Below are 20,381 nucleotides of genomic sequence, written 5' to 3'. Positions count from 1 at the left end.
TTATTTTTAGAGAGAATGATGGAGAGAAAAATTAAGCAGAATAATGTCTGAGAATTTTCCAGAAATAAAAGATATAACTTACCAAATTAAAAAAAAATCTTCTCCAGGGGCTAAGCAGACGATCCTGGCTGCATCATTTTTACTTGCAAAATGTTAAACAGTAGTGGTGTTAATCAACAAGGGACAGTCTAAATAAACTGCTAAATCCATACAATAGAATATTAAGCAGTATTTAAAAACAATGTTACTGATAATCTTTAAATAACTTTGATATATTTGTAGGCTATGTTGTTGAATAAATAAGCAAGTGGAAGACATAAGTTGAGTAAAAACGTAAATACAAAATAATCATATTTTCTATAACTACATGTAAGTTTTTGTACATGCATGTTTGTGTTTAGAAATATAGAAAAGGATTTGGGAGGATGAACAAGTTAGTAATGATGATACTACTGGGGAAATGACATCATGCCCAGAATTGGGGCATAGGTGTGGTGAGAAGTAGGGCCTTACCTAATGTTTCAGTATTTTAAAAAAGAATTTGTTTATATATTTCTTTTCTTTTTTGCTTGTGGCAAAAAACATAAAGTTAAATTTACTGTCTTAACTGTTTTCAAATGTACAGTTCAGTAGTGTTAATTATTTTCATATTGTTACTCAAGAAATGTCTAGAATTCTTTCATGTTGCAAAACTGAAACCCTGTACTTATTAAACACTAATTTCCCCTCAACCTTCCCCCAGCCCTTGGAAACCACTTTCTATTTTCTGTTTCTATGATTTTCACTAATTTAAGTACTTCATATAAGTGGAATCTTAAAGTATTTGTATTTCTGTGACTCGCTTATTTCATTTACCATAATCTCCTCAAGGTTCATCCATATTAGAGCATGTGACGTGACTTTCTTCTTTTTTAAGGCTGAATAATATTCCATTGTATGTACATACCACATATTCCTTATCTTTTAAAAGAAATACTACATATTACTTATTTGAATGGAATATGTGAAAGGATGGAATATTTTTCCATCTTTTCACTTTCGGTGTGTTGTTCTTATATCTAAACTGAGTCTCTTGTAGACAGCATATAGTTGAATCCTGTGTTTTATCCATTCAGTCAATCTTTGTATTTTAATAGGAGAGTTTAACCAATTTACCTTTAAAGTAATTACTGACAGGAAATCACTTACTATTGCCACTTCATTAATTGTTTTCAGTATGTGGTAGCTCTTTCATCTCTTTTCTCCTATCTTGCTGTCTTCTTTTGTGTTTCATTGATATTTTTCTTGTAGTGATATGTTTTGATTCCCTTACTGTTTCCTTTTGTGTATATTATATACATATTTTCTTATCAGTTAACATTGCAATTACATCAAATATCTTAAATGTATAAGAATCTATTTTAAACTGATAACAATTTAACTTCAACTGCATAGAAAAACTCTACTTTGTATTACTTCATCCACATCCACTTTTACGTTCTTGATGATGCATAATACTGCTTCTTAATTGCATATCCATTAACATAGATTTAGAGTTACTTTCTGTGCTATTGTTTAAATACTTTTATGCCAGATTTAAAAGTAATTTTTTTGCTTATAATATGACAGAATTCTATAATTGTCTATATGTTGACCTTTACCAGAGAGTTTTATACTTTTGTATCATTTTGTGTTGCTGTTTAACATTTTTTTCATTTCAATTTGAAGAACTCTCTTCAGCATTTCTTATAGGGCCAGTCTAGTGGTGATGCACTTTCTCGCCCTATGTTTACCTGGGAAAATCTTATTTCTCCTTTATTTTTAAAGGACCGTTTTTACCAGTTATAATATTCTTGGTTGTCAGTTTATTTTCTGTCAGTAGTTTGAATATATCATTCCACTCTCTTCTAGCCTGCAATGTTTCTGCCTAGAAATTTGCTGATAATCATATTGGAGCTACTGGGTATGTGATAGCTTGCTTTTCTCTTGCTGATTTCAAAATTGTCTCTGTCTGAATTTTGACAGTTTGATTATAATGTGTCTCAGGATAGCTCACTTTAAATTTATGCTAGTTGAAGTTCTTTGAGCTTCTTGAATGTGTGTGTTCATTTCTTTTCTCAGATTAGGGAGATTTTCAGTCACTATTTATTCAAATAGGCTTTCTAATCCTCCATCTTCTTTTTCTCCTTTGGAACTTTTCATAATGTGCATGCTGTTCTGCTTGTTTTCTTTAAATCCCTTAGGCTCTCTTCACTTTTCTTCTTTTCTTTTCTTTTTTCTTTTTGCTCTTCAGACTTGATAATTTTGAATATCCTGTCATTGAATTCACTCATTGTTTCTTCTGCCTGGCTACAAATGCTGGAGGCCTCTCAAGCCTTTTCTAGGCATTCATCTTCTCTGGGCTTGTGCTTGTTATCTACCAGTTAAAGAGGCTTACCTCTCTTTAGAAAAGGCTGGAGACCTCTCAAGCCTTTTCTAGGGATTCATCTTCTCTGGGCTTGTGCTTGTTATCTACCAGTTGAAGAGGCTTACCTCTCTTTACTCAGTACCTCCCCTCAGTATATGTCTGTGGTACTACAGCCTCTCTGGTGCTGTAGCAAGTCATGATACTGGGACACTGCCTAGTGTCTGTCTGTGACACTGTATCTTCTCTGGCATTAGACTAAGTCCCAGTGACCAACTTTGTTATCAGTGATCCTCTCCTGGCACTTATTCCTTTCAGAGCTTAGATTCAGGCAAGATAAAAAACATTTTCTTGGGTAGCCTCTCAGAAATCAGAACATTGGATGTATCTTCCACTCTTTTTTTTCTCTTATTCCAGGGAGAAACCAGGAGTTGAAAGTTTTTTTTTCCCAATGACACTGTGCTGTGCCAGAGGGAAGAGCTGTGGTGAGTAAAGGCCATGAATTTTTCTACTGTCTTTGATATGGTTCTTTTTGGTTACATGCTCACCTAGGGTTTAGGCATCTCTTAACTAGGTTCTGCATTGCTCACAAAGGTAATGGTCTGTGTATTGTTTTTAATTACATATCTCTGTGGAGGAGGACTTCCTGTTTTGCTACCTTATTGACATTCATCCCTCTATGTATTTCTTGAATAATTAAAAACCAATTTTTAAATAAATACTAGTAGTTACAAATAATTCTAATGAAAATTTATAGTCTAGATTTAACTTAACAAATATTTATGTGTATTCTACTATATAAAAACTTTCTGGAAGGATAAGCCTGAATTCCTTCATGGACAGAATGAGGATATAACTCTTGATAATTTACCTTTAATGTCATTTCCTGTTGTAACCCTATATAAGATTAAAAACCTTATGTTACCTCTAGCAGTCAGGCATCTAAAGTGACAAACTGTGTCAAATAATTGTACTTGCGTGAAATGGTTCTCTGTTTTTTTATCTTGATGTAATTTTTAATTTTTCCAATTTTCAAAAATAAGTGTCACTTTTACAATATCAAAATAAAGTTATAAAGCCAGACAATAAAAATATTAGTTTATACTCAGTAATTTATTATTATTGTATTTTTATTACTCTTTATTTCTGAGGCAGTGTTACAATATAACTGCACAGAGCTTCTCCATCATCCTGTGTGTAAAGAGTATTTACTCATGAAATGCTGGATATTAAGTAGTATTTATTGTTTAATGCTGTGCCTATTGAATCTATTTAAAAATCTTCAAAACAATTATGTTTTAGTGGTATTTTAATGTTTTTGATTTTGTTATTTTAATGTTTTACACTTTAAAAAGAATAAGCATCAAAGGCAAATATTGGTATTGAAATACTGGCATTGTTTACCTTTATCATTAAATGAATTATTTAGGAGGTGGGAGAAAATTACTATGTAAGACATGAAGAAACTTCCTAGAGCCTACAATTTGTTTATCTTTAACATTAAATTGAATATTTGGGGAATGGGAAGGAATTATTATGTCAAACATGGAGAGGCACTCTGAAGCCTACAGTGTAGTGGACATAGAAGTGAGAGGTGTGTTCTGGGAAGAGCGTTCATCTTGGTTTCGGATTATGTGGGCTAAAGATCCTACTCTTTCATTAATTTGTGAAGTCATAATTTCCTCAGAACTTGAGATTCCTTCTCTGAAAATGAAAAAGGTGAATTAGAAGATTTACTTGATTTTAAACTTCAGTGAATTTCCAAACTAGGTTTCTGAAAGAGATTACTACCACTTTTCCCACAGGTATCTGAAGTAAATATTTTTGTTTAAAACAACTCAATTCTGGTTTGCTTATTTTTTTTGTAGGTTGGCTTACGGATTTATAGCCCATATGATAAATCTAGGATTTTACTGTCTTGGTCTCATACCAATGACCTTTCTTGTTGTCAGAATAAAACCAGGAATGGCTTTCAACTCTGCTGGAATCATCAATAAAACTAGTGATCATTCAGAAATACTAGATAACATGGTAATTTCAAATTTTGACTTTTTAAAATACAGGATTATAAAAAGTGTATTTTTTCTTAAGAATACTAAACCATAATAAATCTGAAATATCAAAACTTTGATTACTATAGATAGCCTGTAAAAATTTGTATATGGTATGAATTTCTTCTAAAATCCTTTGTAGAATAAGAGAGAATATAAACAAACAGGTCAATAAATGATTTTATAAACTAATTTAAAAGGAATTGGCATTTTTAGATGCTAGCTTAAATGCTGAAGTGTATAACTTTAAAATAGGTCTACAAGAAATCACATTCGTAGTTGTCAGGGAAAGTGGGGCATGGGAATGGGGAGAGATGCTTTGTAGGTATGTGATTTCCATTTGAAAAGATGAAAAAGTTATGGAACCAGATAATGGTGATGGTGGTATAACATTGTGAATACACTTATTGCCACTGAATTTTATATTTTAAAATGTAAATATACATGTAAAATGTAACAATTTTAAAATGGTAAATTTTATATATGTATTTTACCACAATAAAAATTTTATGTAGGTCTACAGATTCATATTCTTTTATAGTTCCATTGGCAATTTTTGAACTTCTCTTAATAAGGACATTATGAAATGTGGGTGTGTTCATCTCTAGTAAATTATATGAGTATTTGCATCATTTAAATTTTCTGTTTAACGCAAATGTAGACAGTATAAATTAAGCAAAATAAGTAAAAAATTTAATAGTGAAAATTTTGGAAATGTTGAAGTGTTTTATATCCTCATAACTATGTATCTTACCCTTTTTTGTTTTAGAATTCAAGTCTAATAACAATTTGTATGATTTTAGTTTTTTGCTCAAGTATATTAGGGTATGTCAAAGAAGTGGTTCAAATTTTCCAACAGGTATGAAATACATTTTGTATGTCTAAAGTTGCAAATATTTTAATATTCAGAACATAAATTAATTGATAAGCTGTTACTTGAGATAATACTGTGTCATAATAAATTCACATAGCTTGACTAACATATAGATTAGAAATACCAAGCATAAATGTTTCAAAATGTAGAAATCACATGATTTTGGGTAAGGTCACTGCCTGTTTGATATATCTATATATATCTATAAAAGAGATGTTCCACTTTTACTGGTCCATAAAGATCTGTCTAGCTACACATGGTTATTATGGGTGACCTTTTGGTTATTATGAGTGACTTTTCTGTCTTTCCTCTTACATAGTTTTTAAAGATTTTGCTAACATAATGGTTAGATTTTGAACTTGATAATTTTTAATGTAAAAGTTTATAAAGAAGTTATCTAGCCCAAGACTCCATTTCAAATGGGTCTGTCTTTGAATTCTAACAGAAATTTTTCCTTTTAAATAAAATTCCAAGTTTTAATACAATTTTGGAACTTTTTATAGCATAATTTTTACTTTATCTTCTATTTTTTTAATGAGTGAGCCAAGTTCAGATCAGAACCAAGTATATAAATTATGTATAGGTCCTTCCTTTGGTTGATAAATGGTATGGATCCTTCATTTCTCAGTATGGAGGTTGAAAGTCTTTTATAATTTTTTTGTATATTTTCATGAATATTATTTTTATAAATCATACATCTTTTATACAACACTTCACTTTGTGTGAAAATTTTCTTTGTTGCATCGTGTAAACACATAGATATTTGCATTTATAAATTTGATGATAATAATGCTTTGCATTTTTATCATTGCAGAGTGGTCTCCACAAGGAAAGCCCAGCAATTTGTAGGATTTCCTTAGGCAACAGACTCCCATAACACCAGGTTAACAGAGGACTCTGGGCCATCTCCAACACCGATCTATACCCCAAGGGCTCTGAAGTCAATCCAGGATGGCATGAGGTTACTCCTTGGTCCTAAACTTCTCCCCAGATAGCTGTAAAGCTAGAAAAATTTTATTACTGGGTACATGTATATAATCATCCACAGATGCAAGGTCTCTATATGTGGTAATTTTTTATTCTTTTCTATCCCAGAAAAGGAATTACTTTATGGATATTAGCAGTAGTACTGAATGGATTATCAACACGATGGGCCCCATTTTAGTGCTGCCCTTGTTCACTGAAATAGCAGCCCATCTGCAGTGGCAATGTGGAGCAATCGTGGTTTATTTTTATTGGATTAATTTCTTATTGTGTCTTTGAAGGTAAAAAAGCTTTAATGATTTCCCCATCTTTAAGCATTTTTAATATCAAAAGAAAAACTATTGTAAGTGGTGTACATTTGAAACTGGCTTATTCCTTTTCCAGTTGTTTCAAAATGTGAAGAATTTTTTATGCCCTATTAAGGAAAGGCTGGAGCATGATTCCAGAGTTCAGAATGTAGACCAGGGTTTCTCAAACTCGGCACTATTGTTCTTTGTGGCCAGATAATTTTTTTCCTCCCTTCCCTTCCCTTCCCTCCCCTCCCCTTCCCTCCTTTCTCTTTCTTTCTTTCTTTTCTTCTTCTTCTTCTTCTTCTTCTTCTTCTTCTTCTTCTTCTTCTTCTTCTTCTTCTTCTTCTTCCTCTTCCTCTTCTTCTTCTTCTTCTTCCTCTTCTTCTTCTTCTTCTTCTTCTTTCTCCTTCTCCTTCTCTTTCTTCTTATTCTTTTTTTTTTGTAGAGGGGGACTGTCTTGTATAATTTAAAACGCTTAGCAGCATTCCTGGCTCCTGGCTTCTACCCACTACATACCAGTAGCATCCATCCCACTCCAGTTGTGACAACCAAAAATGTATGCAGACAATGCCAGATGTCTCCTGGGTACCAAATGAGCCCAGGTCAAGAACATTGGTTTAGACAAATCTAGATTAAATGGGGTAAGTAAGTGGGAAAAGTGTTGGCTATTCTTGTTTTACCTGATATTATATGTAAGCATTTACTTTGCATTAAAACAGTCAAAGTGAACTGATAGATAGTATGTGGAATCGAAGTGGTATAAAAGAAAAAATAAGCCTAAATAATTTAATTCTAGAGAAGGAAAAAAGGTTGAGTTCCCCAGCCTCTGAAAGTTTCATGTTATTTCACATAATCTTTCCAATAACGAGGCCAATGTTGTTACTCGAGGCCAATGTTGTTACTCGCATCGTCTAAAAGAAGCTGAAGCACTGAGTTCAGTAACTTGCTGAAGATCTCAGCTATTCATTCACTACATAGGTATTTAATCAAAGTCTTTCTGACTCCAGGGGGCGTACTTTTTCTACCATATCGTCTGCATTACTGTGTCAGGAGCACAGTGGCACAAAGTTGAGTGTGTCCTCTTGGAGAGGACATGGTATGGTAACAAAGGCAGTGGCTAAGGAATAAGAGGATTTAAGGCAGGTTCAGACACTGTCACACCCTTGGCTCTGTCATTATTAGTGGCTTTAGTGAGTTACTAGGCATCTCTGTGAACTTAGCTGAAGTCCCTTTCAGCTTTATAGTATTGTGATTTCCTCTTTTAACAAGTTGTCTTTGCCAAATGCAAAGTACAAGTTAGTGGCCAGATGACAAACCCATTATTTATCCAGACATTTCCCAATATAGGATGCAGTGGGTAGAAAAGAAAACTGAAGGAGATAAAAGGATCAAATACAAATCATATGTTGTGTACCCTGCATTAGGTGTCTTCCAGTTCATGAACTCAGTTAATCTCTGCTTGATGTAGCACACCATTTACCTCTCTAATTTCTTTATTACCAATTTGGTAGCATCTTCTTTGATATTGGGAAGCTGTTATTTTTCTCGCCTACTTCAGTTGAAGTAATGTCCAGTTGCCAAGCGGTAAAATGATTTAAGATAACCTTAGGGCCAGGCGCAGTGGCTCACCCTTGTAATCCCAGCACTTTGAAAGGCCGAGGTCGGCTGATTGCTTGAGACCAGGAGTTTGAGACCAGCATGGGCAACATGGCAAAATCCTTTCTCTACAAAAAAAATGCAATAATCAGCCAGGTTTGATGGCACACACTTGTGGTCCCAGCTACTTGGGAAGCTAAGACAGGAGGATCACCTGAACCTCGGAGGTCAGAGTTGTAGTGAGCCATGATCACACCTCTGCACTCCAACCTGGGTGATAAAGCAAGATCTTGGATCCAAAACTAGATAACATTAATAGTAAGAAAAAATAAATTTGATTAACACATTGAAAATGAGATATGATTATTCAATTAATGTTTTCTTTTTCAAAATAATTGGCCTCAATGATCTCATCTATGAAATCTAATACCTGATTTAATACACGATGGTTTCGCTGTATGGATACACTTTGACCACAAAAGTGAGTATATATTTTATTTTTTCATTTTCCTAGATTTGAGAATTGTGGAATTTTCATTGTTATATTGGAGGTAATTTTTAAAACTTTGTTGAGGTCTGCAGTTGTATTTTTCTTCCTTCTTTTGGCTTTTGGACTCAGCTTTTACGTCCTCCTGAATTTACAGGTAAGGCAGTTGTATCAGTAGTTGATTTTATCACTGTGAATTATGGAAATATACATTTATATGTAAATCTAAATAGTCTAGAAAATTTATAATTACATAACAACAGTATTTTAATACTTTAGTTTTTTTCATCTGCTATATCTTTCAAATGATTTTAGAAAAATCATTTTCCTTTTTTGAATTCTACAAAAAAGTAGGGTCTTGTTAAGTAACTTTTTCCATCGTCAAAAAGTTTAGGCCAGGCGTAGTGGCTCATGCCTGTAATCCCAGTTACTTGGGAGGCTGAGGCAGAAGAATCGCTTGAACCCGGGAGGCAGAAGTTGCAGTGAGCCAAGATCGCACCATTGCACTCCAGCCTGGGCAAAAAGAACAAAACTCCATCTCAAAAAAAAAAAAAAAAGTTTATGTAAAGTGCACGATGATTTATTCTTTATGCAGAAAATATACTTTTGATGACTTTGCCACTGCTTATTAATATTTTATCACTGCATACCTCTGAATTTTAAAAAGTATTCTGAAACATTTTTTCAGAATTCTACTCTCCAGGAAACATTTTTTCATTGTATACACCTCGCATTTCAGGATGCCTTTAGTTCTCCATTGCTGTCTATAATACAGACCTTCAGCATGATACAAGGAAATATCAATTATTGAGAGTCCTTCCTAGAACCATTTCTGAAGAATAAATTGGCACATCCAGTTCTGTCCTTTGCACAGCTTATTTCCTTCACAGTATTTGCCCCAATTGTCCTCATGAATTTACTTGTAAGTAGTTTTTTCATGTATTTTCTGTTCATTGATCATTTGAAACATTTCATAATGATAATTATTTTTAACTTCTTTAATCTCCCTCCACTGGGGAGATGAGAAAGGATCTACCACAAAATCTATTCATTCAACACTCATTTGGTGCCTGGGGAGCACCAGGCACATCAAGAGGCTCAGGGCGTGCACAGATGCATGCACTTGGCAAATACCGAGAATCTACTAAATACCATGAACTGTTGCAAGTTCTGGGAAACAGTGTTGAAGAAAGCAGACCAATATTCAGTCCTAGTGTGATTACAAAATAGTCAGGAAGTTAAATAAACAAATAACTGTGTAGCATAATGTCATGGGGGTGATAAATGCTATGAAGAAATAAGAAGCAGGGAAAGGCAATAAAGATGAAGGTGTGTGATGCTTTGGAGTTGGAGAGGGGGTCAGAGGTTAGGCAGAGACCTTTACGGAACATATTGTCTCTATGCTCAAATTTACCATTGACCAGACATCCAAGTGGAGAAGTCTCTCATGCAAAGGGCGTCTGCAACGTTCAGATGCCACCCTGAACCCTGCCAAAGCCTAGACCCTATCAGCAGACATGAGAGTGCCCTTCCACATGGAATTCTCTAGAGAATCTGCCCAAGCCATGAGCATGCTGGCTGATGCAGGCAAAGGTGCATCCCACTCTAGGTCTGTGGTGGTTGCTTATTGGCATTTTCATGCCTGTTTTTCCTTTATCCATTTATGCACACATGTACGTATTCCACACACTTTCTCTGAGTCTGACTATGTACCAGAGAATGTGCTAGTTAGTGCTTCTGGAAAGAAAAAAATTATGCAGGCTCGTAAGTATTTTGGTCCACTTATTTGATACAACTCCAGAGTTTTATTTTGGTGACCTAGAAAAACAAAGGATGGCAATAGGAATAATGGAGAATGACACAAAGCCTACATTGTTCTCTGATAATTGTTTATGTTTTGGGAGATAATTATCCAGAAGAGAATTGGGCTTAGCAGTAGTACAGGTTGGCCCCATTCTGAAGATCCAAACATCCAACACCCACTGTGCATCTCTACCTGGATATCCTGGTGGAAAATCAAAACCAACAGAGCCAAGACTAATGTTATCTTTCCTTCAGAATCTCCACTGCCTCTCAGTAGAATCTCCTAGTCATCCTACTAAGATCATTGGCAGATAGTCTCTATTTCACTCTCCCACATTTTTCATCAGTTCTTTCAGTAATTCTTTGGCTTTCACATCTGCTTCCAGTTGGCTTGGACTGTTACGGTTCCTCATCCAAATTGATGCAGCAGCCTCAAGAGCATCTCTACCTTATCACACTGCTTTGTCTAATTCTTCCTACAAATGGTCACCAGAGTGACCATCTGATAATTAAAAACTGAACCCATCAGTGACTCTTTTAAGTATTTTTTCCATGCCTCTTCAAAAGCTTTAATTCAGTCCAAACCCATCAGCATAGCAGGCAAATGTCCCTATGAGCTGGATTTACCTATATCTTACCCAATTCCTACTGTTCCCAGGATTTACCCAGAAATGCACATTCCCTGAGTGTGCCACTCTTTCCTTCATGCTGCCTACACTCTGTAGAGGCTCTTCCTTTTGCCTGGAAATCCTCCCACCATGGGTTAACGCTACGCTTTCAAAACAGCACAAGTATCATTTCTTTGGGGTAGACTTCCAATTACCTTACTCTATTGGGTGCTCTTTCCTTGTGTTACCATAGCTTTGAGGATACAAACAGATAATAATAATGAAGCCTACTTTCTAGATTATTGCAAAGATTAAATCAGCTAATACAAGGGACTTAAAACAGTACTTGGCACATGATAAGCATTTGATAAATGTTAGTGACCATTAAAAGTTAATAATTGATCTCTTCTATGGCTTACAAGTTCAAATGTCTTCAGACCCCAGGCAAGTATCTAAAATATGTGAAGCAGCAGGTATGAGATGGTTAGCTTTGGGTATTTTTTTTTTTTTTTTTTTGAGACAGGGTTTCAGTCTGTGACCCAGGCTGGAGTGCAGTGGAGTGATCATGGCTCACTGAAGCTTCTACCTCCCAGTCTCAGATGATCCTCCCACCTCAGCCAACCTAGTAGCTGCAACTACAGGTGCTCACCACCATGCCCAGGTAATTTTTGTATTTTTGTAGAGAGAGGGTTTCACTGTGTTGCTCAGGCTGGTCTGGAAGTCCAGGGCTCAAGTGATCCTCCCACTTCAGCCTCCCAAAGTGCTGAGATTACAAATGTGAGCTGCCACGCCTGGCAAAAATCAGAGATGTTTGGTTTTGATGGCGACTGTTGTAAATCGGTGAGAATACCCAGCTGAAGACTTGCAAATGAAAAACCAAACAAAAGTTATTCTGCCCAGTAAAACCTATTTCCTGACTATATCCAGTTCTCAATGCTAGTTTGCAAGCCCTAGAATATATTCTCCCTGTCTTCATTCATTCTGTGACTGTTTTGTTTACCTATTATGTGCCCTGCTCTATACTAAGCACTGGGCATACAGTGATGACCTTGACAGATCACTTTTCACATATGGTTTACTGGACTTTGAGCTCCTCAAGAGCAGTCACTGACTTTTCTTTCTGGTGCAGCATGCAAGACACTGGCTCAGCAAAGACAGGAACTAAGTGCCTGAAAAATAAATGAGTGAGTGAAATGAGCTAATTCATCAGATTGAGTAGAACTGAGCTAACACCTTCCCCCCACCTAATCCTATCTAGCCATAAATTTCTGGTTTCTTACCAGAGCCTCTCCTGCCCCTATAATATATGTTTTCCTTCTGAACATATACAAGATATAAAATGTATCATTCTCTCAGTTTAGTATTTGTTTCCATGTTGTTAAATCGCTCTTGTCTACCTTAGTTACTAAACTCCTGGAGTTTCCTGCCATGTTGTGTGGCCACACCCAATTGCATGTAATATCACATCATCCTTGTCCTTGCAAAAAAAAAAACAAATAAAACAAAACAGATTTTTATCTTAAATGAAATGAATTTCAGATTAATGTGTGTGTCTTAACACTTAAGAGTACTGAACCTCTGAATGTGTCCGTCATTGTTGCAGAGGTATATAGGCTTTGTAGTTTTCTGTAAGGTGTATTACCAAAGTATTCTGCAGCTACTACTAGTAGATCATATGCCCACTCTCCCACTTTAGCCACAGAGGCCTTGCTATGGTTTGAATTTTTATGTCCCATCCAAAATGTATATATAGAAACCTAATCACCAAGAAGATGGCATTAGAAGGTGGGGCCTTTGGGAGGTGATTAGGCCATGAGGGGAGAGCCCTTATGAATGGAATTAGTTCCCTTATAAAAGAGCTATGAGGGAGCTTATTAGCTTCTTTGCCCTTCTGCCATACGGGAACACATAGAAGGTGCCACCTACGAGGAATGGGCTCTCACCGGAAACCAGTTCTGCCTGAGTCTTGATTTTGGACTTCCCAGCCTGCAGAACTGTAAGCAATTAACTTATGCTATTTATACATTACCCAGACTAAAATATTTTGTCATAGCAGTCTGAATGGACTAAGACAGACCTTACATGCATTTTTAGGTGGACCATTCAACTGTAGTGATTTAATTTTGTGTCATACTTCAGATTGGTTTGGCAGTTGGTGACATTGCTGAGGTCCAGAAACATGCATCATTGAAGAGGATAGCTATGCAGGTAAGTGCAGTGCCTCCCCACTTATGACAGTGTTATCTTCTGGTAAACCCACAATAAGTTAAAAATATTACAAGTCAAAAATGGGCATTTTGTAGGAATATGCCAGTTATAAATTTACACCACTTACACTGTAAAGTTGGGCTATTTTCCCTCCTGATCATGTGGCTGACTGGGTTCTGTGGCTCGCTGCCACTGTCCAGCATCCCAGGAGAGTACCACATACCGCTAGCCCAGAACAGATCAAAGTTTAAAATTTGAAGTTTAGATTCTACTGAATGTGTATCACTTTCACACCATCATAAAGTCAAAAAGACATGAGTTGAACCATCCTAAATTAGGCATTGTCTGCATTACATCTATTTAAACCTACTGAAATTAACACAATTATAATTACTTCCTTTTCTGAGAGCACAGTTATTTAGCAATGGATGTTTTCTTAATCCTGAGGAGTCACATCCTGTGTCTTTTTGCATGTTATCTGGTATACCTGCTGTAATCAAAGATGATGAAAAAAATGTCCTAGAACAATTTTAGTAGAGAAATTAAGAAATTGCCTGAGCATCTTTTGTTATGTTAACCTGTGGCCACCCAGGTAGCTAGCCGCTTGATCAAGAGCATCACTGGCATCCTAGCCCCGCTGTTTTAAGGAGCTGCTTCTATTTTGTGCAGGGAATCACAGGGTCCCCACAGCAAGATTTATATTGAAGTTTTAACTGAATCTATGTGGTTTTGTTCTCTTGTGACATGTCTCTTATTTTTATGGACAATTTGATGTAAAATGTGGTGTCAAAGTTTCTTGGCTAGGTCCTTGGCTATTGAATATTGTGAGTTACTTTTCTGTAATACAACACCAAGTTATTTACCTGTTCTTGACTGGATTGTCTTTAAATTTCAAATTCAAGTGGGCATTTTTGATGCTTCAAGGATATTTGTTGACCAGTTTACTATACGCATTCAGAAACTTTGGCCAGTTTGAGAGATAGAAAAATCGTGTTATGTTATAACTTTCTATTCACTCTTGTCTCCTCTTCACTCTTATTTGTCACAATTTTCTTCTCTGTTATTCCTTCAGCCATACATTAGCATTTATTTATTGAAAAACAATGTTTCAATACATAGAGTGTACAAAGTGCAGCATCCCAGGAGATGCTGGGATGCTTAGCATGAGAGCCCAGAGGAAACGGAGGGATGTGATCCCTGACTGTTAAGTGAACTATGTCTACTTAGCACACCAGCTAGGCATTCATAGAATGAAATATCAAAAATCAACTGAGAACTATTCTTAAATTCTATCCTGTATGACATGGCTGTATATTATTACAGAGATACAGAGTGATTGGAACATTTAGAGAACAAAAACAATTAAATGATTATCAGGTACAGAAAAAAATGCAAAAATAAGGGAATGCTACATGGAGGGGGTGAGATGAGTCAGTGTTGAAAGATGGTTGGGATTTAACAGGACATCGATACCGTCCCGAAAGGAGGGGCCAGTAAGAGCCAAAGGCCACATCAGAACAGGGAAAATGGCCAAGGCACTGGCCCAAGGCCCCCTTGCCTGGAAGGATCATTCATGTTAGTGGGTGACTAGATTGCTCCAGATGACAGGGGGGTTTATTCAAAACTAGCAGAGAAAAACCTTAGCAAAAGGGCAGTAAATTATGAAGTGCTTCAAGTTACTTTGTAAGTTAGTGGAGAGTTATTATTAGCTCTTCCACAATGAAAATGGTGCGTATGTGATCTGCTGTTATCTTGGTTTAGTGGGGAAAGATCAGAGGTAGGAAGAGCTAATGACAGGTTGTTAGTGTCACAAAGATGGGGTTTAGGACTCCAGGTATGTTTATATGGAGAGGGGATGTATAAACTTCTTGGCAGGTATGTCAGCAATACCTCATAAATGCCCTAATACCTCTTTAAAATACACTGGGGAATAAATAAAAATAATAATACAAGCAGTAGCACCAAATAAAATATCTTGGGGAAGCTCACTCAACTACAATGCCAGTAGCGTTGAGCTGAAAAGTACGATGCTATATTTTGTTTACTTTGCTCCCTGAAAGTAAATAACACAAATCCTAGTACCCCCATGTTATCTGTGCCTTGTTTCGGATCAAAAACAGAATCGACTAGAAAACCAGGAAGCCGTTCTCCTACTTCCCCTGAGTTGTTTCTTAAGCAACTCTCTGCATCCATTCTGAAACCTATGTCTGAGCCCACAGCAGCAGTGGATATGTAGCATGCATTTCCTACAGGGTCATTTAATGCTCTCATAGAATCCTCTGAAATGAAAGTGAGAGGTCAGCCCAGCTGCTGTCCAGAAGTCAGGAAGTAGGAATCAGTTTTCATTTTGCTGTACTAATGATTGCCTCTGTGCCATATAAGAATTTCAGATACTAATTAATGGTTCTGTCAATAAATCCAAAATGCATTTTAGGTGAAACTCCATACCAGCTTAGAATAGAAGCTGCCATGCTGTTGCATACGCAAAGTGGATCGGAAATCCACCGCCGTATGTCCCAACAAACCCAGATGTGATGGGACATTATTTGTAAGTACACGTAACAAATAACATCAATAATCTGACACTGCTTGACATCCATTCCTTGTGTTATTCCTAAGGGGGTCATTTTACAGACTTTGAGCCGTCTCTGCCTATGAGAAAAAAGTAGCTGTGCTTTAAAAAAAATGAATATGATTAACTCAAGATGTGAAAGGACTAAGTGACAGAGGGTGAAATTTGCCCTCATGTTTTGGGTGGCTCATCCATAGCATCTGTGTTAAATACACACTGTCCCTGTGAGAGCAGATGGGTGGGGGACCAACCTTACCCTTTCAGTATCTTTTATTACAGCAAAGATATACTTCATTTGTTTTTCCTAGTCACATGTCACTTACATTTGTGTGCAGATATATATGTGTGTATGTACAGCTAAGTGTTTATAATATACAATAAAGAACACACATTTACACACACACACACAGTATTAATCCATTTTCACACTGATATAAAGAACTGCCTGAGATTGAGTAGTTTATAAAGGAAAGAGGTTTAATTGACTCACAGTTGCACATGGCTTGGGAGACCTCAGGAAACTTACGATTATGGTGGAAGGCAAAGGGGAAGCAAGGCACCTTCTCACAGGCAGCAGGAAGGAGAATGAATGCAAGAGGAACTACCAAACACTTATAAAACCATTAGATCTTGTGAGAATTCACTCACTATCATGAGAACAGCATGAGGGAAACTGTCCCTATCATCCAATTATCTTCACCTGGTCTCTGCCTTGACATGTGGGCATTATGGGGATTATGGGGATTATAATTCAAGATGAGATTTAGGTGGAAACACAAACCCTAACCATGTCATTCCAGCCCTGGCCCCTGTCAAATCTCATGTATCTTTCACATTTTGAAGCAAATCATGCCTTCCCAACAGTCCTCCAAAGTCATAATTTATTCCAGCATTAACCCAAAAGTCCAAGTCCAAAGTTTCATCTGAGACAAGGGAAGTCCTTCTGCCTAGGGGCCTGTAAAATCAAAAGCAAATTAGTTATTTCCAAGATACAATGGGAGTACAGGCATTGGGTAAATATTCCTGTTTTAAATGGTAGAAATTAGCCAAAACAGAGGGGCTACAGGTCCCATGCAAGTCTGGAATCTGGTTGGGCAGTCATTAAACCTTAAAGTTCCATGCAACTCAATGTCTCACATCTAGGTCATACTGATGCAACAGGTGGGCTCCCATAGCCTTGGGCAGCTCCATCCCTATGGCTTTACAGGTTACAGCACCCCTCCCAGTTGCTTTCACAGGCTGGCATTGAGTGTCTGCAGCTTTTCCAGGTGCATGGTGCAAGCTGTCAGTGGATCTACCATTCTGGGGTCTGGAGGATGTTGGCCCTCTTCTCGCAGCTCCACTATGCAGTACCCTAGTGGGGACTCGGTGTTGGGGCTCCTAGCCCACATTTCCCTTCCACACTGCCCTAGCAGAGGTTCTTCATGAGAGCTTCGCCTTTGCAGCAAACTTCTGGCTGGACATCCAGGCATTTCCGTACATCATCTGAAATCTAGACGGAGGTTCCCAAACCTCAATTCTTGACTTCTCTGTACTCTCAGGCCCAACACAACATGTAAACTGCCAAGGCTTGGGGCTTGCACCCTCGGAACCAAAGGTTTGAGCTGTACCTTGGCCCCTTTTAGCCATGGGTGGGTCATGAGGTACAAAGTTCCAAGACTGCACAAAGCAGCAAGGCCCTGGGCCCAGCCCACAAAACTGTATTTTCCTCCTAGGCTTCTGGGCCTGATTGGAGGTGCTGCCATAAAGACCTCTGACATGCCCTGGAAACATTTTCCCCATTGTCTTTGGGATTAACACTTGGCTCCTCATTACTTATGCAGATTTCTGCAGCTGGCTTGAGTCTGTCCACAGAAAATAGATTCTTCTTTTCTGTCACATTATCAGGCTGCAAATTTTCCAAATTTTTATGCTCTGCTTCCCTTTTAAATATGGGTTCCAATTCCAAGCCATCTCTCTGCGAATGCATAAAACTGAATGCTTTTAAGAGCATGCAGGGCACCTATTGAATGCTTTGCTGCTTCGAAATTTCTTCTGCCAGATACTCTAAATCAATCTCTCTCTAGTTCAAAGTTTCACAGATCTCTAGAGCAGGGGCAACATGCTGATAGTCCCTATGCTAAAGCATAGTAAGAAGCACCTTTATTCCAATTCCCAAGTTCCTCATCTCCATCTGAGACTATCTCAGCCTGGACTTCATTGTCCATATCACTATCAGCATTTTGGTCAAAGTCATTCAACAAGTCCACACTTTTCCACATCTTCTTGTTTTCTGAACCCTCCAAACTGTTCCCACCAATGCCTGTTACCCAGTTCCAAAGTCACTTTCACATTTTCAGGTATCTTTATGGCAGTACCCCACTCTCCCCAGTATCAATTTACTGTATTAGTCCATTTTCACACTGCTATAACGAACTGCCTGAGACTAGGTAGTTTATAAAGAAAACAGGTTTAATTGACACAGTTCCACATGGCTGGGGAGGCCTCAGGAAGCTTACAATCATGACAGAGGTAAAGGGGAAGCAAGGCGCCTTCTTCACAAGGTGGCAGGATGGAAAATGAATGCAGGAGGAGCTACCAGACACTTATAAAACCATCAGATCTCATGAGATCTCACTCACTATCATGAGACCAGTGTGCAGGAAACTGCCCCCATGATCCAATTACCTCCACCTGGTCTCTCCCTTGACAAATTATGGAGATTACAATTCAAGATGAGATTTGGTTGGGAACAAAAAGCCTAACTCTGTCTCTCTCTCTCTCTCTCTCTCTCACACACACACACACACACACACACACACACACACACACTCTCACAGTTGGAATGTCCACTATAGAAAGTATATGAAGTGATCAAAGACTAAGCAAGACCATTGCATTATAATGGAAGAGGGACCATATAAAGAGCCAGAATTACTGGGTGCTAATTCTAACCATGCCTGGGCTGCCCTCATCTCTATGACTGTTCTTCCTGAGTTCTTTGCAGGTTAATTTCCTTTGTGTAGTCATAAAATGATAAATTCGCCCTGAATAACAGTCTAGGCTCTACTCTAACCCCACACTATCTTCTGAGTAGGCTTACAAAGCCTAACTCTTACAAAGCAGAGTAGAATCAAGCTGTCAAAAGTGATTAGAAATTTTAAATGATCACTCCAGCCTTTAATTTGGTATATGCACCATATTAAGTCATTTAAGTGAGTCAGTAAATGTGGCTTGTAATATAAGAATGACAGTAATATCTATATGTGTATATTCTTTGATTGTCAGTGATGCATCAATTTACCAAAAACAGCAGATAACAACTTAAAATATACTTTACTATTTTCAAATTGCAGTTTGATTAAGTACAATTGCAATTGTACTTAATTGAAAAAAATCAAGTTTTATATGAACAAAAAAAAAGGGCCACTGGAAAAGCCAATATTATTAAGTTCCATTAAGATCTGACTTTTTTGAGTATACAACAAATGATCCATTGTATTTTGGCAATGAGTAAATCCTCATTTGTCATAGATTAGCTATTTACCTTCTTTGTTCTCCAATATTAAAATTGAGTAGCAGTCTGATTACACTCATTTTTTTCTTGGCTGAACTCGTATGTATATTTTTCAGTCACAGTTTTTGTGAGATCCTCTGATTAATATTTATTTATTAAGGCTTTTGAAGTATGAAAATTTATAGATCAATTCCATTAGAGAAATAATAAGGTTCTTTGCCAACATTAGAACACAGTGATTGTAAATTAGTCTTTTGAATAAATATAAAATTAAGATAAAGTTTCTATTACTGAAAAGGGGATTGCATTGTTTTTAGACTCCCCTCCCAAAGGGAAAAAATATATATATAATGTTGTTTTAAGTTTTTGTAGCATCTTAGAATAGACTTCAGACATTTACTTGATTTTATAACAATTAAGGTTTGAATGGCAACATTTGGACGAATAATTCTTCTTGGTGTAAATTGAACAACAAAATAGAAAAAATACATTTAGGATAAATAAATACATGTATCCCTTACTCTGTTTTAATTACTTGTGCTGTCTCATTTAATACACTGCAAGAGACATACTATTTTCCTAATTTTTGAAGATGAAGAAACTAAGGCTCAGAGAAGTTAAGTAACTTGTTTAAGGTCAGAATAATATTGTGCTGTCCAGCAATATGCCTAAGAGTTATACAACTGCATACTTTTCATTTGCTTATTGTATGCTAGTTTCTTTCAGTAGTTTCATTCACTGCACAGTTCAAATTGCTCAAGGCTGGAAAATCTTGCAGAAACTTTGAAATCAGATGAAACACTACCAACTCAATATTAGCTCAATTTTTTTAACACTAAACATGTATCCACTTACGTTTTGCATAACAACAATAATTTCACATTTTAATTATGCCATTACATTGACCAAATTTTGATTATGATTATGATTGCCTAAAATAAATACATATGTGAGTGGCAATTTGTGAGATTTTGGGTAGAAAATCTCCTTGGGTCCATGGCTGCCCATCAGATAGTCTCACAAAGAATG

The 20,381-nt window shown here is 36.7% G+C and overlaps 1 pseudogene across 1 annotated transcript in view; it reads left to right on the top strand.

Moving 5' to 3' along the window:
* TRPA2P (transient receptor potential cation channel subfamily A member 2, pseudogene) overlaps window positions 1-15,831 on the top strand; it is a 48,883-nt pseudogene extending 33,052 nt beyond the window's left edge. The window contains exons 13-20 of the transcript NR_033867.2: window positions 2,801-2,868; window positions 4,252-4,414; window positions 5,204-5,293; window positions 6,404-6,573; window positions 8,693-8,822; window positions 9,405-9,587; window positions 13,216-13,284; window positions 15,719-15,831. The product of NR_033867.2 is annotated as a transient receptor potential cation channel subfamily A member 2, pseudogene (transcript). The remainder of the gene's footprint in view (window positions 1-2,800; window positions 2,869-4,251; window positions 4,415-5,203; window positions 5,294-6,403; window positions 6,574-8,692; window positions 8,823-9,404; window positions 9,588-13,215; window positions 13,285-15,718) is intronic.
* The last annotated feature ends 4,550 nt before the right edge of the window (window positions 15,832-20,381 follow it).

Source organism: Homo sapiens, chromosome 8 (assembly GCF_000001405.40).
Source record: "Homo sapiens chromosome 8, GRCh38.p14 Primary Assembly".
Lineage (NCBI taxonomy): Eukaryota > Metazoa > Chordata > Mammalia > Primates > Hominidae > Homo > Homo sapiens.
The sequence above is the reverse complement of the archived record's forward strand: the minus strand, read 5'-3'. Positions and strand labels throughout refer to the sequence as shown.